This window comes from Homo sapiens, chromosome 3 (genome assembly GCF_000001405.40).
Source record: "Homo sapiens chromosome 3, GRCh38.p14 Primary Assembly".
Classification (NCBI taxonomy): Eukaryota; Metazoa; Chordata; class Mammalia; order Primates; family Hominidae; genus Homo; species Homo sapiens.
Window position 1 is genome coordinate 129009040 of NC_000003.12, and position 21100 is coordinate 129030139.

Below are 21100 nucleotides of genomic sequence, written 5' to 3' on the forward strand. Positions count from 1 at the left end.
AATGCAAACAGCTTCATGTGGAAAATTTGACATCACCATTCATAAAATGTCATTCAATCCCTGCCCAACCAAGGTGTTTCAGTGGCACTTCTCCCAACTTAGTTCCAACCACTCTCCACCTTTCTTCTCTCCTCTGTTTTCTCTCTCTTTTCTTCCTTTCTATCATCCAGGTCTCCTGGGTGAATGCCAGAAAGCCTAATGCAAACTGACCTAGGTGAAAAGGAAGTTAGTTCTTAGAACTGAAAAGTGTAGGCATGTCCAGCTTCAGACATGGCTGGATTCAGGTACTCACGTAGTGTTACCACGATATACTGAAGTTCTGCTTTACTCTCTGGCAAATTCTCTCCCCCAGTAGCCCTTGGGGTGCCAGGCTAATATCCCCAAAGCTCAGTCCAGTAGAAAGACCATCTGTCATCTGAACCATCCCACTGAAGTCCTGGAACTGGGCCTCATTCAGCCAACTTGGAAACATGTTCATCCCTGAATTCATCACAGGGGCCAGGACAATTTGATGCTCTGACTGGCCAAACCTTAGTCACATACCCACCACTGGAGTGAGAGCAAGGCCCATTGAACTCTGGAAATGAGATCCTCCCAAGAGAATCAAGGGGCACTGTACCCCAGACACATTCAAGGAACACACCCCTTTGCCCCTCTCTGGAGCTCGCAGCCCAGTCCTTTTCTTGTCTGGGTAGAATAGCCCACCTGTGGCAGCTCAAGACTGTGAACTCTGAAGCCCCGGGAGGAAACCTGGTTAGACACAGAGCAGGCTTGTCTGGAGGTCAGCTTTTCCTGGATGCTGGGTGCTTTGGGAGTGGTTTCGGGGGGACTCTGTAACCTCGCCAACCTGTGCCCATCCAGGTGATTCAGGGCTCACTGGGGAGGGTGGACAGAAAAAGATTGTTATCCCCAGGTTCTGTCCGTAGCTGGGAGCCCTCCTGAGGGAGCACAAGGGCTTGGCACTTCTGTGGCCTAGCACCCAGCCCAGCCTTGGCACACAGTAAGATGTGTGTGGACACACGAATGGACCAGCGGGCATGGGAGTGGATGCTGTCCTCAAAACTGGAAGAAAGGGCGTAACGCCTGGGACTTCAGCACAAGGAGACCCCTAAGTGGTCCAGTGGCCTTGTCCTGCCTTGAGGGGTCCCCCTTCAGTCCTCAGTAGAAGGTCTCTGGTGGGTTTGTGACATCTCGTCCTTTTGAAACCGCCCATATCTCAACCAGTTGCCTGGCCTGGCCCCCTACCCTGCTCTGAAGCCAAGGAGCAGCTGAGTCCCCTTGATGGGGCCTTCAGGACACCGGGGCAGGGCAGGCAGCCTAGGGCCAGCACCACTGGGCAGGGGCTGGTGCCCAAAAAGACAGAAGAGACAGAGAGCCAGCTCAGCTCAGCCGGAACAGGGAGGAGAGGCCTGGCGGCCTGGCCTCTGGCTTTGTTGTTGGGGGAGGGTGAAAAGGCTGGGATGGAGGAAAGGGGGTGGGAGAGGGAGGGAGGAGGGACGGCAATTGGCTGGCCACCGTGGAGGGGACACAAAGATGAGGCCATCTGAGGGCTACCTCCTTTCTTCTGCCCCATTGCTGCTGCCTGGCCTGACCTGGCAGCCTTTGGGTGGGCCAAACTCAGCGGGTCCAGGGTGGGAGGGAGGCAGATGAGTGGGGGCGAGCAGAGGGGGCATGGGGCACCATCTGGAGCTGGGAGGCCTCGGATTCCATCGTCCTTGGAGGTGGGTGTGTGGGTGGCCTTGGTGAGAAAAGAGGCCTTTCCTCCTCCAGGAACAATACTCAGGCTCACAAAGAGGCAGACCCACTCAGGCACCCACTGCATGCCCCAGGCCCTCAGGATGCACAGGGGGCTTGGTGGGTGGGGGCCTAGGCTCAGAAGGCCCAGCCCAACCTGGCTTTGATTCCTGGCTCTTCAACATGTGTGGTAGGAGCTAGAGCTGTTCCCTTCACTTCTGTGAGTCTCAGTTTCCTCGGCTATAAAGTGGCTATGGGATTCTGTCTTGGCATAAACATTGAGTGTGATGGGGGAGGCAGCGTGGTGGTGGAGCTCTGGGAGTGTGACCTGCAGCAAGCCATTCTCACCTCTGTGAGCCTCAGCTCATCTGTAAAATGAGATGAGAATAATAATGATAATAATACCCACTTCATGGAGTATTTGAAGATTCAACTTGCTGTTGTGTTGAAAGTGCCTATAATAATGAAAGGCTTAATAAATATTGGAACGTATTGGACAGGGTGTGGTGGCTCACGCCTGTAATCCCAACACTTTGGGAGGCCGAAGTGGGTGGATCACCTGAGGTCAGGAGTTCAAGACCAGCCAGGCCAACATGGTGAAACCCCGTCTCTACTAAAAATACAAAAATTAGCCAGGTGTCCTGGCACGTGCCTGTAATCCCAGCTACTTGGGAAGCTGAGGCAGGAGAATTGCTTGAACCCAGAAGGTGGAGGTTGTAGTGAGCCAAGATTGTGCCACTGTACTGCAGCCTGGGTGACAGAGCAAGACTCCGTCTCAAAAAAAAAAAAAAAAGAATGAAGCAGGGACACTCATTCTTGTCTATCCAGAAAAGCAAGCCCTGTCCAGGGCAGGATCACAAAGGGGCAGGCCTTGAAAAGCAAGGAGGCAGAGGAGGAGGAGCCGTGGGCTCTCTGTCGAGGTGGCTGATCAGTGGTGTCCCCAGAGAAACCTGCCCTCATTCAAATACATGCCCCCAGCTGCACTTCTCGGAGGACAGAGCCTGGGCCCACACTTTGGGCTGACAGCTCAGAGATATACCCTCTCTCGAGCCTGAGGCTTTGCACCCCTCCCAGAGAGAGGGGCCTTGACTGCACAAGCTAATATGTGCAATAAATGCATCCTTCAGAGAAGGAAGGAGCCTAGACAGGGATGGTAATCTGCCCAGGCTCACCCAGTAAATCAGGGGCACAGCCAGGCTGGATTCAGTCCACGAGTCTGTAGCTCTTTCTGCTACTTCCCACAGGTGGGTTGGAAATAAGCTTCAGCCTTTTCAGGCCTGAGGCAGCCACAAAGGACATGGGGTGGCCTGAAGTGCCAGACCAGTCACCCTTGGCCATGACCTGCCTCATCTGCTAACCTATGTATGTTGCACATTTTCTTTGGTGTCTTGATGCTTCTTAGGAAGCTTCAGCTCAACTTGCTTGTGCCTCAGTTTTCTCATCTGGAGAATAGGTTAGTTTTAGTACCTACCGCACAGGGTAAGAATCTAATGAGATAATAGAAAGCATTTAGAATGATGCCTGGCACATAATAAGCCCTCCTTAAATGTCATTGTCAGCTGGTCCTGGGGTGTGCCTGCATTTGCTACACACTCCTCGGATGAGCTTTCGACCCCTGTGCCTCCAGCACTCTCCATCCACCTGTATCTCTGCTTGTCCCTGCCTGGTTCTACTCGCTCCTGCTCCACATAGCTGGGAACATGGCTGCAGGGACCCCAGATTCATGACTTTCCAAATTCTGTGACCCAACATTCTGCTTCCCAGCACCTGTAGATAAAGTCCTAGGAAAGAACGTGGATTGGCCCAGCCTGGGTCACAGCCCCACCTCCAGGCCGAGACCAGGACCAGGCTACTAGGATAGTCCTGTTGGCCCGGACCAGGGCACACGCTCAACCCTGAAGTGGGCCAAGAGTTGGGTGGCCATAGAAGTGGGACAACTCCCAAAACGAAGGTTGGTGCTGTTACCAGGAGACAGAAAAGGATGCAGGTTAGACAGAAAACAATCAATGTCCACCTCATGAACTTCCCCTTAGAAGTGAAAATTCAAGAAACATAAAGGCTACAGCTCAGCACCAGGCACAGAGAAGGTGGAAGAGCGGGCATTGGGCATTTTTTTATGTAGTGTAGCAGTTTTCCAGAAAGTCAAAGGGCCTGGCGCATGGATGGTTTTCTTTATTTAAGGTGGTCTCATCCAAAGAGAGAATCTCTTCTCACATAAGGATATGCTATTTACCCACAAGGAGACATTGGAAGAAGAGGCCAGTTCCTGGGTGGAGGCCTGGCTTGTCCTGTAGCTCCAGACGTGCCAGTGTCAGGACTTTCACATGACCTGGCCTAAGTCAGGGGTAGTATACATGGTTCTGCAGACCCAAGCCGGGTGAGCTCTGGAGGACACAAGGGGGTGGGCATCATGATCGCCAGATTGTTTTGACGGTACAGCCTTGGATATAGACAGTCAAAGTGGTCTTGTGTAGAAAAAAATGACAAAAAATAAAAGTATGCTTCCTTTGGATGGAGAGGGTTCTATATTATATTGGATTTTTTAGTTGCTAATGACTAAAAGCACTCTCACTGCCTTAGGCCAAAAGAAAAGTAGGAACGGCACTTATTTATCAACTAAAAATCTCAAGCGTATATAGCTTCAGGCATGGCTAGATCCAGGAGCTCAAGTCATGCTACCTGGAATCTCTTTCTTTCTATCCTTTATCTTGTCTTTCTCCTAGTTGGCTCTGATTTCAGACATTCTTCCCATAAGGTAGCAAGACAGCTACCATCATCATCAGGATTAGCTCCTATCCTCCCAATCACCCCCATCAGAAACACTTTCTCTTTCCCAGTAGTTCCAACATAGGCCACACCCATCCTGGAACCAGTCACTGGTACCAGGGAAATGGAGCATGCTGACTGGCCAGCCTAGGGTCATGTGAGTACTCTGGACCAATCACTGCCACTCTGATTAGCTAGACCTGGCTAAAACATTCCCGCCATTGGCCCTGCCCGACACATGGGCCAAGAGAAATGGAGGAGTCTGTTCTCCAAAGAACAGTAGTCAGGGGGCTGGATGGGGGGCTACTTGTGGGCAATGATGGCACCCAGTCCCCCTGAGCCGGGCAGAGGACCTGGCCAAGGAAGGGCCGTGGCTTCTTTGTGACTAGGCAGGGGCAGGAGCGACTGTCAGAATGTGCTCTGAGTTGGGGGTGGGGGCTTTTCCGGAGAGGACCGAGGTGACTGGAGAAGCCTGGAGCCACCCAAAGTCAGAGACCCAGGAAGGGGCAGACAGAGTCTTCAGGCTCTTCATTTTGCCTCTTCATGATTTTCTGTCAGAAATAACCATTGGCTTTTCTTCATTCAACCAAATTCTGTCAAGTGCCTAGAGAGGGCCCATGCTGTCCTGGGCATGAGGGAGGCAGCTGGGAAGAGGCAGAGACCCTGCCCTCGTGGACCAACTCTCAGTGCGTTACGCTGTTGACCACCAGTAACTAAGCGGGTGGACGAGGGGAGGGTCAGGGAGTGTGAGTCAGCTCGGGCTGCTGTGACAAGCCCCACAGACCAGGAGCTTCAACAACAGGCATTTGTCTCCCACAGCTGTGGAGGCTGACCAGAGTGCGGTGTCGCAGCGTTGGCTTCTCCTGCGGCCTCTCTCCTGGGCTGGCAGCCAGGGCCGCCTTCTCCCTGTATCCTCGCGTGGTCTTCCTTCTGTGTGTATTTCTGTCCTAATCCCCTCTTCTTAGAAGGACACCAGTCAGACTGGATTAGGGCCCACCCTAAAGACCTCATTTTAACTTGATTACCTCATTAAAGGTCCCATCGCCAAATAAGATCACATTATGAGGAGCTCTGGGGGTCTGGACATCAACATATGAATTGGGGAGACACAACCAGCCCATCACAGGAGACTTCTCTGAGATGTGACCCTGGAATTGAGGCCTGAGTGGCAAGGTGGGGCCATGACTTGTGTGATCCAGGGCGGAGGTGACTCCCATAGCAAAATCACAGGGCTGGGCACAAGCTTGGCTTGTCTGCACTGCCTGCACGGGGACGAGCAGGTTGGAGCCAGCCTGGATGCCGAGGGGCCAGTGAGGAGGGGCCAGTGAGGAGGAGCAGGTGAAGAGCCCTCCTCACCTGTACACACGGAGTCCTGCTAAGTCTCAGCTCCAAGTGGCTCAGACCCACCTGCTACTCTCCAGTCGCACCCACCACCCAGCCCAGCCCCAGCACCACTCCTGGACAGCTGTCCTAGCCTCCTGACTGGTGTCCCAGCTCCATCAGAACCACGGACCACACAGCATCAGGTTAATCTTTTCAACACCCAGATCCCACCTCGGGCTCGCCCACTCACAACTCTCCTGTGACCTCCTCTGGTGACCATCATGACTGTGAGTGACCAGGCCCTTTCCCATCCTCTCCTGCAGCCACACTGACCCTCCAGGGCTCCCCTTCTCAGGCCCTTTGGGCATACGGCTCCCTCCACCATCCCCAAGCCTACTCCTGACCAATCCACATTCACCCTTCAGGTCTTGCCAGACCCCAACTCTTTAGGGAGGCCCCACCTCCATCTACAGCCTCTTCCTAACGTCTTTCACGGCCCCTGGACTTTTCTGTCCTTCATGTATTTTTGTGATGACTTCATTGAGGTCTGCTCCTTCGGGGGGGGAGGTTGCGGGGTAAGCTCTGTGAGGTCAGGGGCCATGCCATTGCTAAGGACAGTGGCTGGCTCAATACTTCATCCTTCGGTGAATTAAAGAACCAAGTCAGCAGCTTGGGCTGGCAGGGCCTTAGAAGTCACCCAGCCCAGGCTGACACCCTGCACGGCGCCCCCGAGAGCTGAGTGTCCGTGTCTGCTCGCACACTCCTGTTGCACCCTTCCCACCGCCATCCCCTGCTCAGTAAAGTTGGGGGGGTTCCCGAATTCAGGTAGGGACCAGAGAGGAGTCACAGAGGACCCCTGAGGACTGTCCCCCCACCCCTTGTGATTTATTTTCCGCCCTTCCTCTGCTGCATCCCGCCCCCCTACCCCAAGCTGTTCTTCCTGCTGTTGTTCTCTTGTTTTCACATGTTGCTCTCTGTTTCCTGTAAGGCTGCTTCACTCAGGAAACGCCATGCAGCAAAGGAAGCCGCTGTGTGCGAACCTCCAGGACCTCCCAGAGTAGGTGCTGCAGCGTGGCCGTGGCCTGATGGCCCAAAGTAGCCTGGCTGGGTTCTGAGGGACCTGTCAGCTCTGCAGCTTCCTGAGACTTGCTGAGTCACTGAGCGGCTCAGAGCATAGGAAGCAGAGAGAAAAAGACAGCAGTGACATTTTTCATCTATTCCAGAATAAACTGAGCCCAGGCGGTGTAATGGGCTTTTGATGCGTCCCCCTGGCTTTGATGTGATGCCTTGACCGCTCCCTTGGTTACAGCAAGTTAACCGGTCAAACACTAAGCTACAGTTGCTGTACAGGTATTCTGCATATGGATTAAAGTCTGTCATCAGTTGACTTTAGGTAAGGGACATTATCCTGGCTGGTCTGGGTGGGCTTCAAGAGCCAAACAGGCTTCTGTGTGAAAGAGAAGTTCCACCTGTGGACAGAAGGGTGTGGAATCCATCTACAGCCAGGCCTACAAGCTGTAGCTCTTTCTGAAGGACTTTATGACAAGGAAGTGGGCTGTGTGATTGTGGGGGCTGGCTAAGCAAGCCTGAAGTCCACAAAAGGGAAGCTGGCAGGCAGGTGGAGCTCATGGGCACGCCCGTGTCTAGAGCCTCTGGGGAAGCCCATAAGCCGTGCCCGTGAGCTCCACCTGCCTGCCAGCTTCCCTTCTGTGGATTCCAGACTCATTTAGCCAGCCCCCGTGATCACACAGGCCACCTGCTTGTCATAAAGCCCTGGAGACAGAGCTACAGCTGCAGGCATGGCTGTAGATGGATTCCACACACTGGCCCCACTTCTCTGGTCAAACCCTGACTCGTACAGGGCCTGAGGCAGGAGGGGGCGGAACTGATTAAGGAACAAAAGCTAACATTTTTGAGCACTCACTGGGTGTTAGGCACTGCACTAAGGACTTTATCTGTACAACCTTATTGCACTCCCAAGCAGTGCTGTGAGTGGTTTATCAGTGATGATGCTTTATGCTGCAAGAACATAAAACCCAACTCAGAATGGCTTAAACCACAAGGACATTTATTATCTCATGTGAGAAGTCCAGGGGAGAGCAGTTCCTTGGCAGTTCAGTAAAGTTTTCAAGGACCTGATTCATCTTCCACTCTGTTTTCCTCAGCTTGTCATTTTGGCCTGTCAGCAAGGACCCCTCATGGTTGCAAGAGAGCTGCCATGGCCTCAGGCATCACTGCCATATCCACGGGTCCTCCTGGCAGACTTCCCCTCACCTCTCTTTGGCCAGAATTGCATCACATGCCTGTTTCTAAACCAATCTGAAGGAAGCTTCATGATTGAGGCTTCGTGAAGGCGGCTTCATGATTGGCTCAGGCCAGTCAAGTCTCTCTGGGAGCACAAGGCCACAGTCGGGGTTGAGCTGACAGCAGATGGGGTGTGGTTGTTTGGATGGCTGAATTTGGTTTCTATCACAACCATAGCCGATCACCACACTCTTAGTGACTTGAAACAACACCCACCTGTGACCTCATAATTCCGTAGGCCGGAAGTCCAGGCGGGCGTGGCGGGCTTCTCTGCACAAGCTCGCACAAGGCCGAAAGCAAGGCACCCTTGGCCGGGTCTGGACCCCCTGGGAAAGCCCGTTCCAGTGTTGGCAGAATCCAGCTCCTTTTGGCCGTGGGACCGAGGCCCTATTTCCTTGCCGGCTGTCAGCTGGGGTTGCTCTCTGCATTCCTTCACCCACATTGCTTTCATCTTCCAGCCAGCAACGACCTGCCCCATGTCCTTCTCACACTTCACATCTCTCTCACAGCCTCTTCTACACCAGCCCAGAAAGCTATCTGCATTTCAAGGGACTTGTGTGATTAGACAGGGATAATCCCGTCTTCTGGTCAGCTGTGCCACAGAACATCATGCCATCTCTGAGTGACAGGCTCACTTCACTCACAGGCTTTGAGAATTAGGGTGTGGAACTTGGGGGCCCATTCCTAGACATTCTGCCCACCCCCGTGAGGCAGACATTTCACTGGAAAGAAAGTTAACCTCAGAGAAGTGAAGTGAGTTCCTCAAGGCTGTACCAGCCAGGAAGTTATGGCTGCAAACAACAGAAATCAATGCTGCTCATTGAAGCAAGAAAATAACAGCCCTCCCTCCTGGCTACCATATAGTATGCAGTCCTGGCCATACAAGAGGGTCCCTGTGCCCCTCAGGGTGGTCTTTTTATCCCCAGCCAGATGCTTGGTTTCAATTATTCTATAACCTAATAGGATTAGTTATCTTAGGAAATCCAGAGGTGCTGGCTGGCCTTGGGAGTAAAGATGAGACCTCAGTTCTCCAGGCTCATTAAACATGTTTGCCTCCATAGGGAGACAAATTGTCTCCATAGGGAGCAGAAGTCATCAGTTAAATCCGGGGTTAGCAAACTACAGCCTGTGGGCCAGTCCAGCTCCACCCTTATTTTTATACAATCCACAAACTAAGAATAGTTTTTACATTTTTAAATGGCTAGGAAAAAACTAAAAAAGGGATATTTCATGACATATGAAAATTTCATAAAATTCAAATTTTAGTGTCGATGAATAAAGTTTTATTGGAACACAGCCATGTCCACTTGTTTACATATTTTCTGGGACTGCTCCTGTGCAGAGTGGAGTAGCTCTGACAACAACCTCATGGGCTTCAAAGCCTGAAGTATTTACTCTCTGGCCCTTTATGGCATAAGTATGCCAGCCCTGAGTCAAATGACAATGTGCTGGTCATTGGTGACCAGCAATTCCAACCTTGGGATTCCTCATGTATTCTGAGCAGGGGACTGGGCAGGGGCAGGGATGGACTCTCTCACCTCTTGTTCCCACACGCCTTCCTGCCCTTCAGGCAGTCCCTCCCCGGTGATTTCTCTGTATCTTCTTGTTGGGATGTGTTCTTGCGAAGTGAGTCTTTCGGGTCTGTTTGCACCCCATTGGCGGCGTTGTGGCACATGTCTCACTGTGCCTCTGACTCCCCACTCGGCGCTGGAGTTCCCACCCCAAATGTTGTTCTGCGAGTGCATCTTCTGGCTGCTTTTCCCCTCTGCAAACTCCTCCATCCACTCCCAGGGGTGGACACTAGGCTGCCTCCAACTGCCTGCCACTCCAGATGACACCAAGTGCGTGTCCTCCCCCACACCACCGTGCAGCAGCCTGCTGTGAGAACTGTCCCAGGAGAGGGGTTGCTGGGTCTTGTGGAGACACATAAATGATTTGACCAAGTGATGCCAGCTGGCCCCAGTGTGTTCTTTGATGTAATCAGGTTCACCAAATTCTTTTGGCTTTATGATTTTTGCCTTTGAATTCTTGAGTGGTCCTCCGTTCCTAGGTCACAAGGGTATTCTGCTGGATATTCTTTTGTTTTAATTGTATCTTTTAGGTGTTCAGTCCACCTGGAGTCTACCCTTTTGGGTGATGAAGACAGGGACCCAGCTTTAAGTTTGTCCTGGGTAGGTTTAGGTTTAGCGAGGGCTGGCTACCTTCACTCACATGGGATTTAGAAGCCCAGTCAGTCCACTCATCAGTGTTTGTCTTAGTGGTTTGCTCATCAGTCCAATAATTCCTTTGAGGATGTGAGACCGCAGCAGGACCCTCACTTGTATATATTTTGTGTTTATATAAACAGTCACATTCTAGATTCATATAATTGTAGTACAAACAAGAGAGAACTACAGTTCTGGGAAAAATGACTGTAAACTATTTAACTTTTAATATAAGTTGTAGATCAGCACTGTCCAACTGGACTTTATGAGATGATGGAAACGCTTTCTGGCTGCACTGGTAGCTGTGAGCCACAGGTAGCTACTGAGCACTTGATGTAGCTAGCATAACTGAGGAACTGAATTCTTAGTTTTATTTAACTTTGATTAAATTTACTTTTTTTTTTTTTTTTTTTTTGAGACTGAGTTTCGCTCTTGTTGCCCAGGCTGGAGTGCAATGGTATGATCTCAGCTCACTGCAACCTCCACCTCCCAGATTCAAGCGATTCTCCTGCCTCAGCCTCCCAAGTAGCTGGGACTATAGGTACCCACCACCACGCCCGGCTAATTTTTGTATTTTTAGTAGAGACAGGTTTTCACCATGTTGGCCAGGCTGGTCTCGAACTCCTGACCTCAGGTGATCCACCTACCTCAGCCTCCCAAAGTGCTGGGATTACAGGTATGAGCCATCGCAACCAGCCTGATTAAATTTAAATAGCTACATGTGACTGTGGTTACCATATTGGACGATGCAGGCCAGATTAAAACACTAGGACAGCACTGCAGAAATTTATGCATTTATTTGAGGTTTTAGGGGGTAAAATGAGAAACAGAAAAGGAAAGATGAACAAGCAGGAAGCTGTAAACAGAGTGTGGGAGTTAATATTTGTTAAGTGCCTACTCTGTGCCAGGCACATACATCCCTAATTTAGCCCTGACTTGCACCCTATGAGCTTGGGTGACTTACTCCCATTTAAAAGATTGGGAAGGCTGGACAGATGGCCCACACCTGTAATCCCAGCATTTTGGGAGGCCGAGATGGGTGAATCACTTGAGCCCAGGAGTTCAAGATCAACCTGGGCAACATAGTGAGACTCCATCTCTACAAAAAATACAAAAATTGGCTGAGCATGGTGGCCTGCACCTGTGGTCCCAGCTACTGAGGAGGCTGAGGTGGGAGGATCACTTGAGCCTGGGAGGTTGAGGCTGCAGTGAGCTGAGATCACGCCACTGCATTCCAGCCTGGGCAACAGAGTAACACCCTGTCTCAATAAATAAATAATAAAATGATGGGAAAGTTGAGTCTCAAAGAGGTGAAAGACTTGGTAAGGCACGCTTATTGGAGTGGCTGGCCCAGGATTAAACAGACACAGGCCAGATGCCCTTCTCAAAAGGCTCTGTGAGCCCAGAGGCTCCAGGGGAGGGAGCCAGGAAGGTTACAGGCTGGCTGGGCACTTGCAGACGGGAACCCTGGACACCACCCTTCTGAAGGCTGGGGCATGGTCCAGTGTGCTGACCTGGCAGCCTCCAAGTCCAAACCCACAGGGGTGGGCACCTCGTAGTCCCAGGGTGAGGCTGCCGTGGCCAGTGGGATGTAAGGCCTCATGAGAGCTGGGAGGGGTCTGGAACAGGGCATCTCCTTGGGAGCAGTATCTCCCCCAGGACTTTCTGGAAATTCGTGGGGAGGAGGGTTTGCCTCAGTGACTGGAAGGGTGGTGCTCCTGACACATGAGGGGCCCTGCCAGGGAAACAAGGCTCTGGGCAGATCCTGTATGACCAAGCATCACCCCAAACCCCACATGAGCTCCATGTGTCCTGCTGGACATTTATGCTGCGCAAACCTCACTTTCGTCATGATGATCTGAGACTGGAGCCCACCTCTGTCTTATATATAAACACAGGGTTTTCCACAAGGTTTTAATATACAAAGGGTTTTCCAAGAATCCGATGCTGTGTGAGTTGAGGGAAGGTCACACTTTGTTTTGTTTGGCATTTTCCAAGAGTTGCTCATCATTTCAGAGGCACATCAAAGACAGTGACAAAACTCATGGTGCTTAAGCTGCTGGCAGGGAATGCCTGGCCTGTAGTCCCAGCTACTGGGGAGGCTCAGGCAGGAGAATCGCTTGAACCCGGGAGGCGGAGGTTGTGGTGAGACTAGATCATGCCATTGCACTCCAGCCTGGGCAACAAGATTGAAACTCCGTCTCAAAAAACAAACAAACAAACAAAAAACACTGGCAGTCCTTATGCTTGTACTGTGAGTCTGCGCGGGTATCTGTCTATTTATCAATCCATCTATCAATCTGGATATTTTAAAATGCCAAATATAGGGAAAGATTATCAACAACATTCAGTTGAATGTTACCTTGCCCCTCTTAAATTCAAATGTATCCATCACAGACAGGTTAAAGTATCTGAAAATTTCATTGTTTGTGAGTATTTACATATTGAAATGTATATCATAAAACTCCTTTCCTTTTCTTTCTCTTTTAAATTACCATTAGGGCATCACATTAATTTTTTTTTGAAGTACATCTGAAAATAGGGCATATTACGTATTCAGCTCATTTTGGAATAGCACAGGGCCATTGTAGAAAGAGGGCGTCAGTGTGTTAGGGTTGGGGTCCTCTGCTGTGAGGGGCAGAGGTGGCCGGGGCAGGCGCAGAGCTCTGCTCTCACAGCACCCAGAACTCACCGTGTGCTGGTGTCTAAGCATTTACCAAGCTTCAGATCCTCTAGGATCAATGTCATTTTTTTGTCATATCTATATAGAACCTGTATTATTTTCAAATATTACCAGGGGCAGGAGCTCCACAAAGTTTAGAAGGACCATGTCATTTCATTTCATCCTCATAGGACCGCCAGGCCCAGCTAGCACAGAGTCCCCAGCAGTGTTGACTGATTAATCAATGAGGAAAATGAAATAGAGGCTCAGAGACGGGGAGGGAGTTGTGCAGGTCACACAGCAAAGCCACAGTCCTGAGGGTGGAACCCAGGTTTGCGGCTCCTCAGATCCACCTCTTTGCATCACAGAACTGAAGGAGGGGTCTGTTACATGAAGATCTGGAGCCAGGAGCCAGGAGTGGCCAGGACAGCGGAAGGGAGGAAGAGCAACATCTGGCCCTTGTCAGATTGTATAAGCCCCTGGGCTGGCGGCCAGATGTGGCCATCAGCCTCCAGCAGGAGGAAGACATCAGAGGCTCACCCGGCCTCCGGATGCTGTGCAGATGTGGCCAGCTGGAGGGAACACCCAACCGCACACAAGGACTCTGGGGTCTGCCAGGAAGTGAGGGTGTGAGGGGAGGGTGGGTGGCTACTGGGGCCTGCCTTTCCCCAGAACTGCCTGGAGCCCTGACAGAGGTGCTTCAGTAATGCCTGTTGAGTGACAAGTGTCTCTGCAGCTCACAGAAGGCCCCCAGACCATTTCCCCCATGGCTCCCGAAAGACAGTGGCCCAGAAGTGCGGCAGGCAGGGGTGAATGTGGGAGTCGCGGGCCGGAAAGCACAGGGCAGGGAGGTTGGGCCTTTGCCATACTTTTCCAGCACCGGTTCCCAAGCTGTGGTTTGGAGCTGAGAAGTCTCCAACTTCTCCTCACAGTTGCTAGCCTCTCTTGAATGGACAGAGAACAGCCTCGGGTTCAGAGGCAGACAGAAAATAAGATCTAGCTAGAACTGACTAACTGTGTTTCATTCTTGCTTTATGTATTTTTAGGGTGTTAAAAGGAAAACTTTAGACATATTAAATTTAACAGAGTTTATCTGAGTAAAGAACAAGTCATGAATTGGGCAGCTGTCAGGGACAGCAGAGGTTTGGGGAGCTCAGCCTGCTATTTGTTACAAATATATGCTTCTAAATTAGAGTTTGATTTCTTCACATACTAAGTTCGGCTTCAGATCATCACTCAAAGTACAGAGACAGCCTCAGGCTAATGGCCTCTTGCTTCTTTTTTTTTTTTTTTTTGAGACAGAGTCTTGAGTCTTGCTCAGTCACCCAGGCTAGAGTGCAGGCTAGAGCGCAGTGGTGCGATCTTGGCTCACTGCAAGCTCTGCCTCCTGGGTTCACGGCATTCTCCTGCCTCAGCCTCCCGAGTAGCTGGGACTACAGGCGCCCGCCACCATGCCTGGCTAATTTTGGTTTTGTATTTTTAGTAGAGACGAGGTTTCACCATGTTAGCCAGGATGGTCTCGACCTCCTGACCTCATGATCCACCCGCCTCGGCCTCCCAAAGTGCTGGGATTACAGGCGTGAGCCACCGCGCCTGGCCACCTCTTGATTCTTAAATTTAACAATGGTTACTATTTATGGCAAGAGATGCTGGGTTTTCATTATTGGTTATAATATTTACCACTACATAAAATATGTATTAGTAAATAAAAGGACAAATGACCAAAAATGTCTGCAGCTTAGGAATCTGCATTATCCTATCACGTAGGGTCCACCCCTCTCTGAGGTGCACAGAGGGCTTAGCCCCATTCCACAGGACAAAGCTGATAGGAACTGGGAATGGTAGGACTCAACCCATGTCTTGTGGCTCCAGATCTAGTGCTCTTCCTTCTCTGTCCTTTCTGGAACAATCCAAGAGCAGGTGAATAGGTGATAGGAGTAAACTGGATGCTTACCCAGGCTCTGGTCTTGTCCCTGGCCTGGCCTTTCCTTGCACTTCCACCCCTAAATCCCATTCATTCATTTGACAAACCTTCATTGGGCCACTCAGTCCCTGTGCTAACTGTCCTCAAGGAAATCCCAGTCTGGTGAGAGAGAAACACCATAACACACCACACGAGGGCTCTAGGAGCCAGGAGAGGTGTCTTATTCATATTTATTTGTTCTGCTGTAACAGAATACCACAGACTGGGTAATTTATAAAGAAAAGAAATTTGGGGCTGGGTCTAGTGGCTCACACCTGTAATCCCAGCACCTTTGGAAAGCCGAGTCAGGCAGATCACTTGAGGCCAGGAGTTCAAGACCCGCCTGGCCAACATGGTAAAACCCTTTCTCTACTAAAAATACAAAATTAGCCAGGCATGGTTGCACACACCTGTAGTCCCAACTACTCGGGAGGCTGAGGCAGGAGAATCACTTGAACCTGAGAGGCAGAGGTTGCAGTGAGCCGAGATTGCACCACTGCACTCCAGCCTGGGTGACAGAGCAAGACTCCGTCGCAAAAAAAAAGAAAAAAAAAAAGAAAAAGAAAAACAGAAATTTAGCTAAGGGTTCTGGAGGCTGGGAAGTAAAGGGCATGTCACATCTGGCCATAGGCTTCTTGGTGCACCGTTCCAGGGAAGAAGGTAGAAGAACAAAAGAGGGAGAGAGGGAGACAAACGCATTCCTGTATCTGGAGCCCACTCCTGCAGTAATGGTGTGGATCCACTCGTGAGGGCAGAGCTCTCATGGCCTGATCACCTCTTCAAGGCCCCACCTCTCTACACTGTTGCATTGGGGATTAGGTTTCCAACACGTGAACTTTGGGGGACACATTCAAACCATAGCAGAGGGAGAGGTGAGTTCTGAGAAAGTGACATTTTTGTTGGGGTGGGAGAACGAAGAACCAGGAGGATTTTCTGGGCACTACTTGCTGGAGCCAAACCCAGCGGCCACTCTTTGGGTGGTCAAGTGGGTGATGGCACACTTCACTGAGGGAGGGAGGAGCAGATGGAGGAAGACCAGGACAAGTCCAGGTGGCATGAGAGGCTGTGAGAAGCCTGTGGGACATCCAAATAGAGGTGCCACAGTTAAGTTCGGGCGCTTGTCAGGAACTGGATCTGAGCCCGAGGTTCAAGAGAGAGGCCAGAGCTGGAGATAAGAAGTAGGAAGTCATGGGCACGCAAAGCCATGGCGTTGGCTGAGACTCCTCCTAGAGCGAGTGCACACTGAGGAGAGAAGAGGTCCTCAGAGGGCATCCCAGGGCTCACCGGCATTAGGGGTCGGGACGGAGAGGCAAAATGGCGAAGAGTGCCAGGGAGGCAGGAGGAATCCCAGAGGAGAGCAGTCTCCCGGAAGCCACGGGAAGAGTGTGTAAGCGAGGGAGGAATCTGATGTCCAATCCTTTCTCTTTAGGCCAAGTCAAATGCGTGCTGAGAACTGGCCATTGGGCTTGGCAGCCCAGTGCCGTGGGTGATGTGACGGGGACCAAGACATGATTGGGGCAGCATGTGTAGTAGGCACAGTGCTTTCAAGTTTTCTGTCAAGTAGGGCAGAGTAAGGGTGGTAGCTGGGAAAGTCATATGGTCAGAGGATGTTTTGTGTATTTGCTTGTTTGAAGGTGGAGCTATTATAGCATGTGAGTGTGATGAGGGGTGGCTGATCTGCTGAATAATCCAGCAGAGAGAGGGGCAATGGGAGAAGCAGTTGAATACTGGTCACTAGACAACAGTAGCACACCCCAGGGCTCCCTGAGGAAGCACTTGTTCCATTTCTCTGTAGCCACATTTTACTTCTTGGAAAATTCCAAAGAGTGTCCTCATCTGTCCTGCTCTCCAGATGGCTCTGTTCTCTTCCCAGCTTCACTGCCTGTGACCTGGAGTTACCCACTGACAACGGCAGCTGGGCCGGGTCATTCCAGAGCCTGCCTTCCAAGCTTCCCTTGTGCCTGGCATGTGGGCCTGGAGCCTCCCGCCTGAGTGCAGACCCCACCTCTCCCGCGGTGCGGCTCCAGCAGCTTCCTCCAGCTCTTAGTGCTTTGGTTTCCTCCTCTGTAAATGGAGATAATGACCTTACCTGTTATAGGGTTTTCATGAGGAAGATGTTTGAAATATTGAGAACAGCTTTCAGAACATTCTGAAGGGTTTAGTTGGTATTGTCGTTGCTGTCCGTGCAGGAAGCTGTGCCTGGAGCAGGCTTTCTAAGACACATGCAAGTGCTAGGAGGTGGAGTGTGGGGATCCAGTCCACCCCAGGCAGCCTGTGCCAGGAAACATTTAAACAGGCCCCTGGGGGTAAAAGCTGTCCCTCCATCTCATTTTGCTTGTTGAAACCCTTAAATGATTTAGGGAATAGAAGAAGCAGCAGCATCTCATAGTGGAAAGATTTCAATATTAATGTCTAATTCAACCTCCAACTGTATTCACAATTCCAGCCGCTGAAGTCCCTTACCTGCTGACATACCTCCTCTGCCAAGAAGCTCACTGCCTTCCACAGCACATCCATCATTCTTCATCAGCAGTTCCTGCGAGAAAGTTGTTCCTCCCAGTGAGCTAAAATCGCCTCCCTTTGATTACCAACTCCCATCTTTGCTGTCTCACCCCAGTTAAACACCTCCCTATGGGGCCATATAACCAGGTACCTGCCTCTACCCTTGAGTCTTGGAGACAGTGACCTTATTCCCTTGTGTCTTTTCTTCTCCAGGCTGTAGTCTGGAGCCTGTGGAGTAGGGAGATACTGGCACCTCCCCAGTGAGATCTCAACTATTATGACCTAAGCTGTAGTCACGCGGTCTCACATTGAAGCAAGAATCCCCACCCGGGGGTTTTCACACTGGTTGCTGCTAAGCAACGTGCCCATTCTCGGCTTGCACTGGGGGACCCTGAATGCAGGATTTTATGAATCAGAGTCATGGGCTCAAAAAACACGAAATTCCAGGGTTAGCCCTGGCTTTAGGCAAAGCCTGATCCAGCAGCTCAACTGATGTTACTAAGGGTCCTGTTTCTTTTGCCGTCATCTTTGGGCTCTATCTGCAGCCCCCAAGCATCTCCGGACGGCCCCCTCAGAGGCACAACTTCCCGCTTCGTCGGTCATCATGCTCCGCGCCCTCAGGCAGTCAGCGAAACGCCGGAAACGCCTGCAGACGCCTGCAGACGCTCCTTGTGTTTCATTGGCTACCCGTGCAGCCCTGGGCCACTCACGGTGGCCAGGGTGGGGTTATGCTGATGAGCACGGGGAGGCCCCGCGGGCGGCGGCGGTGCTCGCAGCCGAGGTGCCGGCGGGGAGCTGGCCATGGGGAGGCGCTGCAGGGGGCCCCGGCGCCCGTGCCCCGTTTGGGCTGTGCGCGCTGCCGGCTGGCTCCCCTCTTGGGCTCGCGGGCCCTCCAAGTGCCAAGTCCACCTGACGGAGCCCGGGCCGGGAGCCCGCGCCCCTCACCTGCCCAGACTCTCCGCGGGGGCTCACCCCAGTCACGCGGATCAGCCGCGGGAGGCTCCCTGCCTGCCCCTCCTGGGTGCTGCAGGGCTTCCACCTGCGCAGTGAGAGGCTCAGCAAGGGGCCATGGCTCCGAATGGCACCTCCCGAGCAGGGGTCTTTGTGTTCCAATAATATTTGGTCATAGGAAGTCCACTCAGCGAGTCCATGTAAAACATGTAAAATGGGGACTCAGGGCGGGTGCGGTGGTCCACGCCTGTAATCTCAGCACTTTCTGGGGCCGAGGCGGGCGGATCACCTCAGGTCAAGAGTTCGAGACCAGCCTGGGCAACATGGAAACCTCGACTCTACTAAAAATACAAAAGTTAGCCGGGCATGGTGGCGGGCGCCTGTAGTCCCAGCTACTTGGGAGGCTGAGACATGACAATCGCTTGAACCCAGGAGGTGGAAGTTGCAGTGAGCTGAGATCGCGCCACTGCACTCCACCCTGAGTGACAGAGCAGGACTCAATCTCAGTAAATAAATAATAAAATAAAAATAAAATGGGGACTCTTTGGAGATTGAAAAATAAAGCTACAATGTATGAAAATGAGTTGTCATACTATTTAATAAGACCAGGTAATATTTTCAGCCATTTCATTCTTTTTTTTTTTTTTCTTTTTTGAGATGGAGCCTCACCTTTTCACCCAGGCTGCAGTACAGTGGTGCGATCTAGGTTACGGCAACCGCCACCTCCTGGGTTCAAGCTATTCTCCCGCCACAGCCTCCTGAGTAGCTGGGATTACAGGTGCCCGCCACCACACCCAGCTAATTTTTGTATTTTTAGTAGAGATGTGGTGTCACCATGTTGGCCAGGCTGGTCTCTAACTCCTGACCTCAAGTGATCCATCTGCCTCGGCCTCCCAAAGTGCTGGGATTACAGGTGTGAACCACCGTGCCCAGTCTAGCCATTTCATTCTTAAAAAAAATAATCTCCATGACTGGAGTACAGTGCTCTCATTCTTAGACCAAACACAGAATGACTTAGGACTTTTATTCCTTTTGGAGTGATTTTTCCAACAAAACTGTGAGAACACAGTGGTGCACGCTTACCTTTATGGGTTTTGTTTTTTTGTTTTTGGAAGTTTTCTTTTTGCAGCTTTACCATGAGGAGGGTCCCTTTTGCAAAAATATCTCAGGCCTTTGTTGGCTTTTCTTTTTTCTTTTTTTTTTCTTTTCTTTTGAGACAGAGTCTTGATCTGTCGTGAGGCTGGAGTGCAATGGCATGATCTCAGCTCACTGCAACCTCCGCCTCCCAGGTTCAAGCGATTCTCCTGCCTTGGCCTCCCGAGTAGCTGGGATTACAGGCACGTGCCACCACACCCAGCTAATGTTTCTATTTTTAGTAGAGATGGGGTTTCACCATGTTGGCCAGGCTGGTCTCAATCTCTTGACCTCGTGATCCACCCGCCTTGGCCTCCCAAAGTGCTAGGATTACAGGCGTGAGCCACTGTGCCCAGCCTCATTGGCTTTTTTAAAGGTTTTCTTCGTGCAGCAGAGCACTCTCCTGATGCTCCTGGCTGGTGCTCATCCTGCTGGTTTTCACTTCCTCGGTTGTATTCCAGTCCAGCCCTGCCACAGCCCCGCATCAGTGGCTCTGCCTGCGATTCGAGTTCTCCCGTGTCCCCCTGACCAACACCACTCGGCCTCCCCTTTTCCAAGATGTGGTTTTGCTTCATATTGGGTTCTATCGGGTTGTTACGACGAGATGGATGAGGGACAGATGCTAGTATAAAGTGGCCAGTTTAATAAGTGGCCCATTTATTAGTGAATATTTGCATGTTATGATAGATTTTTCTTTCTCCCCTATCTTGTAACTGCAGGGAAATGGAAAATGAATATTCAAAAGGTCAGGCCCTTAAAATATCAAGAAAAGTGATTGGTGGGGTGTAATGTAGGTTCCCCAAAGCCCAGAGAAGGGAGATGTTTCAATTAAAGGCTTTCGGGGGCAAGGAACAGAAATGCAATTTAAACTAGTTGGGTGTGGTGACTCACATCTGAAATCCCAGTGCTTTTGGAGGCCAAGGCGCTGGAGGATCTCTTAAGACCAGGAGTTTGAGAACAGCCTGGGCAACACAGTGAGATTCTGTTGTTTTTTGTTTTTTGGTTTTTTTTTTGAGATGGAGTCTGGCTCTGTTGCCCAGGCTGGAGTGCAGTGGTAGATCTCGGCTCACTGCAGCCTCCACCTCCTGGGCTCCCAGGTTCAAGCGATTCTCCTGCCTCAGCCTCCCAAGTAGCTGGGATTACAGGTGTGTGCCACCACACCCAGCTAATTTTTATATTTTTAGTGGAGACAGGGTTTCACCATGTTGGCCAGGCTGGTCTCGAACTCCTGACCTCAGGTCATCCACCCGCCTCTGCCTCTCATAGTGCTAGGATTACAGGATTCTGTCTCTATTTAAAAAATTAAAAAAAAAAAAAGTAGGCTAGGTGCAGTGGCTCATGGCTGTAATCCCAACACTTTGTGAGGCCGAGGCAGGCAGATTGCCTGAGCTCAGGAGTTCGAGACCAGCGGAAGCAACATGGCAAAACCCTGTCCCCACAAAAAAATACAAAAATTAGCTGGGTGTGGTGGCGCATACCTGTAGTCCCAGCTAATTGTGGGGCTGAAGTGGGAGGATCGCTTGAGCCCGGGAGGTTTGGCTGCAGTGAGCCAAGATC

General features: G+C 51.2%; 2 protein-coding genes across 14 annotated transcripts in view, besides 6 other annotated features; one reads left to right on the plus strand and one right to left on the minus strand.

Moving 5' to 3' along the window:
- Nucleotides 1-17709, minus strand: part of CFAP92 (cilia and flagella associated protein 92 (putative)) — a 116876-nt gene extending 99167 nt beyond the window's left edge. For all 5 annotated transcript variants that reach the window (XM_017006945.2, XM_011513050.3, XM_047448638.1 and 2 more), the window contains exon 1: nt 17420-17709. In XM_017006945.2, coding sequence (XP_016862434.1) covers nt 17420-17483 — 64 coding nt within the window. In that variant the 5' untranslated portion in view covers nt 17484-17709. The remainder of the gene's footprint in view (nt 1-17419) is intronic.
- EFCC1 (EF-hand and coiled-coil domain containing 1) overlaps nt 1-21100 on the plus strand; it is a 39439-nt gene that overhangs the window by 7736 nt on the left and 10603 nt on the right. Inside the window, exon 4 of one of the 9 annotated variants that reach the window (XR_924178.4) lies at nt 17403-17486. The exons of 4 other annotated variants lie outside the window; for them this stretch is intronic. Coding sequence is in view for 3 of the 5 variants with exons in the window: in NM_001377501.1 (NP_001364430.1) it covers nt 3916-4062 (147 nt within the window). In the remaining 2 variants the exon portion in view is untranslated. Of the gene's footprint in view, nt 1-3915; nt 4251-5535; nt 7089-17402; nt 17487-21100 lie in introns of those variants that run through there. 4 more of the 9 variants (XR_007095727.1, XM_011513163.4, XM_047448963.1 and 1 more) reach the window with 4 other exon arrangements.
- Nucleotides 6887-7394: an enhancer, noted in NCBI's record as "H3K4me1 hESC enhancer chr3:128734769-128735276 (GRCh37/hg19 assembly coordinates)". NCBI's record gives its function as "activates a minimal SCP1, AML or CMV promoter by ChIP-STARR-seq in naive H9 embryonic stem cells {active_cell/tissue: H9 hESC(naive)}" and the evidence as "EXISTENCE:reporter gene assay evidence [ECO:0000049][PMID:30033119]".
- Nucleotides 7108-7217: an enhancer, noted in NCBI's record as "active region_20500". NCBI's record gives its function as "activates an Ori minimal core promoter by ATAC-STARR-seq in GM12878 lymphoblastoid cells {active_cell/tissue: GM12878}" and the evidence as "EXISTENCE:reporter gene assay evidence [ECO:0000049][PMID:35858748]".
- Nucleotides 7238-7287: an enhancer, noted in NCBI's record as "active region_20501". NCBI's record gives its function as "activates an Ori minimal core promoter by ATAC-STARR-seq in GM12878 lymphoblastoid cells {active_cell/tissue: GM12878}" and the evidence as "EXISTENCE:reporter gene assay evidence [ECO:0000049][PMID:35858748]".
- Nucleotides 7965-8466: an enhancer, noted in NCBI's record as "H3K4me1 hESC enhancer chr3:128735847-128736348 (GRCh37/hg19 assembly coordinates)". NCBI's record gives its function as "activates a minimal SCP1, AML or CMV promoter by ChIP-STARR-seq in primed H9 embryonic stem cells {active_cell/tissue: H9 hESC(primed)}" and the evidence as "EXISTENCE:reporter gene assay evidence [ECO:0000049][PMID:30033119]".
- Nucleotides 8068-8227: a silencer, noted in NCBI's record as "silent region_14715". NCBI's record gives its function as "represses an Ori minimal core promoter by ATAC-STARR-seq in GM12878 lymphoblastoid cells {active_cell/tissue: GM12878}" and the evidence as "EXISTENCE:reporter gene assay evidence [ECO:0000049][PMID:35858748]".
- Nucleotides 18037-18526: a silencer, noted in NCBI's record as "silent region_14716". NCBI's record gives its function as "represses an Ori minimal core promoter by ATAC-STARR-seq in GM12878 lymphoblastoid cells {active_cell/tissue: GM12878}" and the evidence as "EXISTENCE:reporter gene assay evidence [ECO:0000049][PMID:35858748]".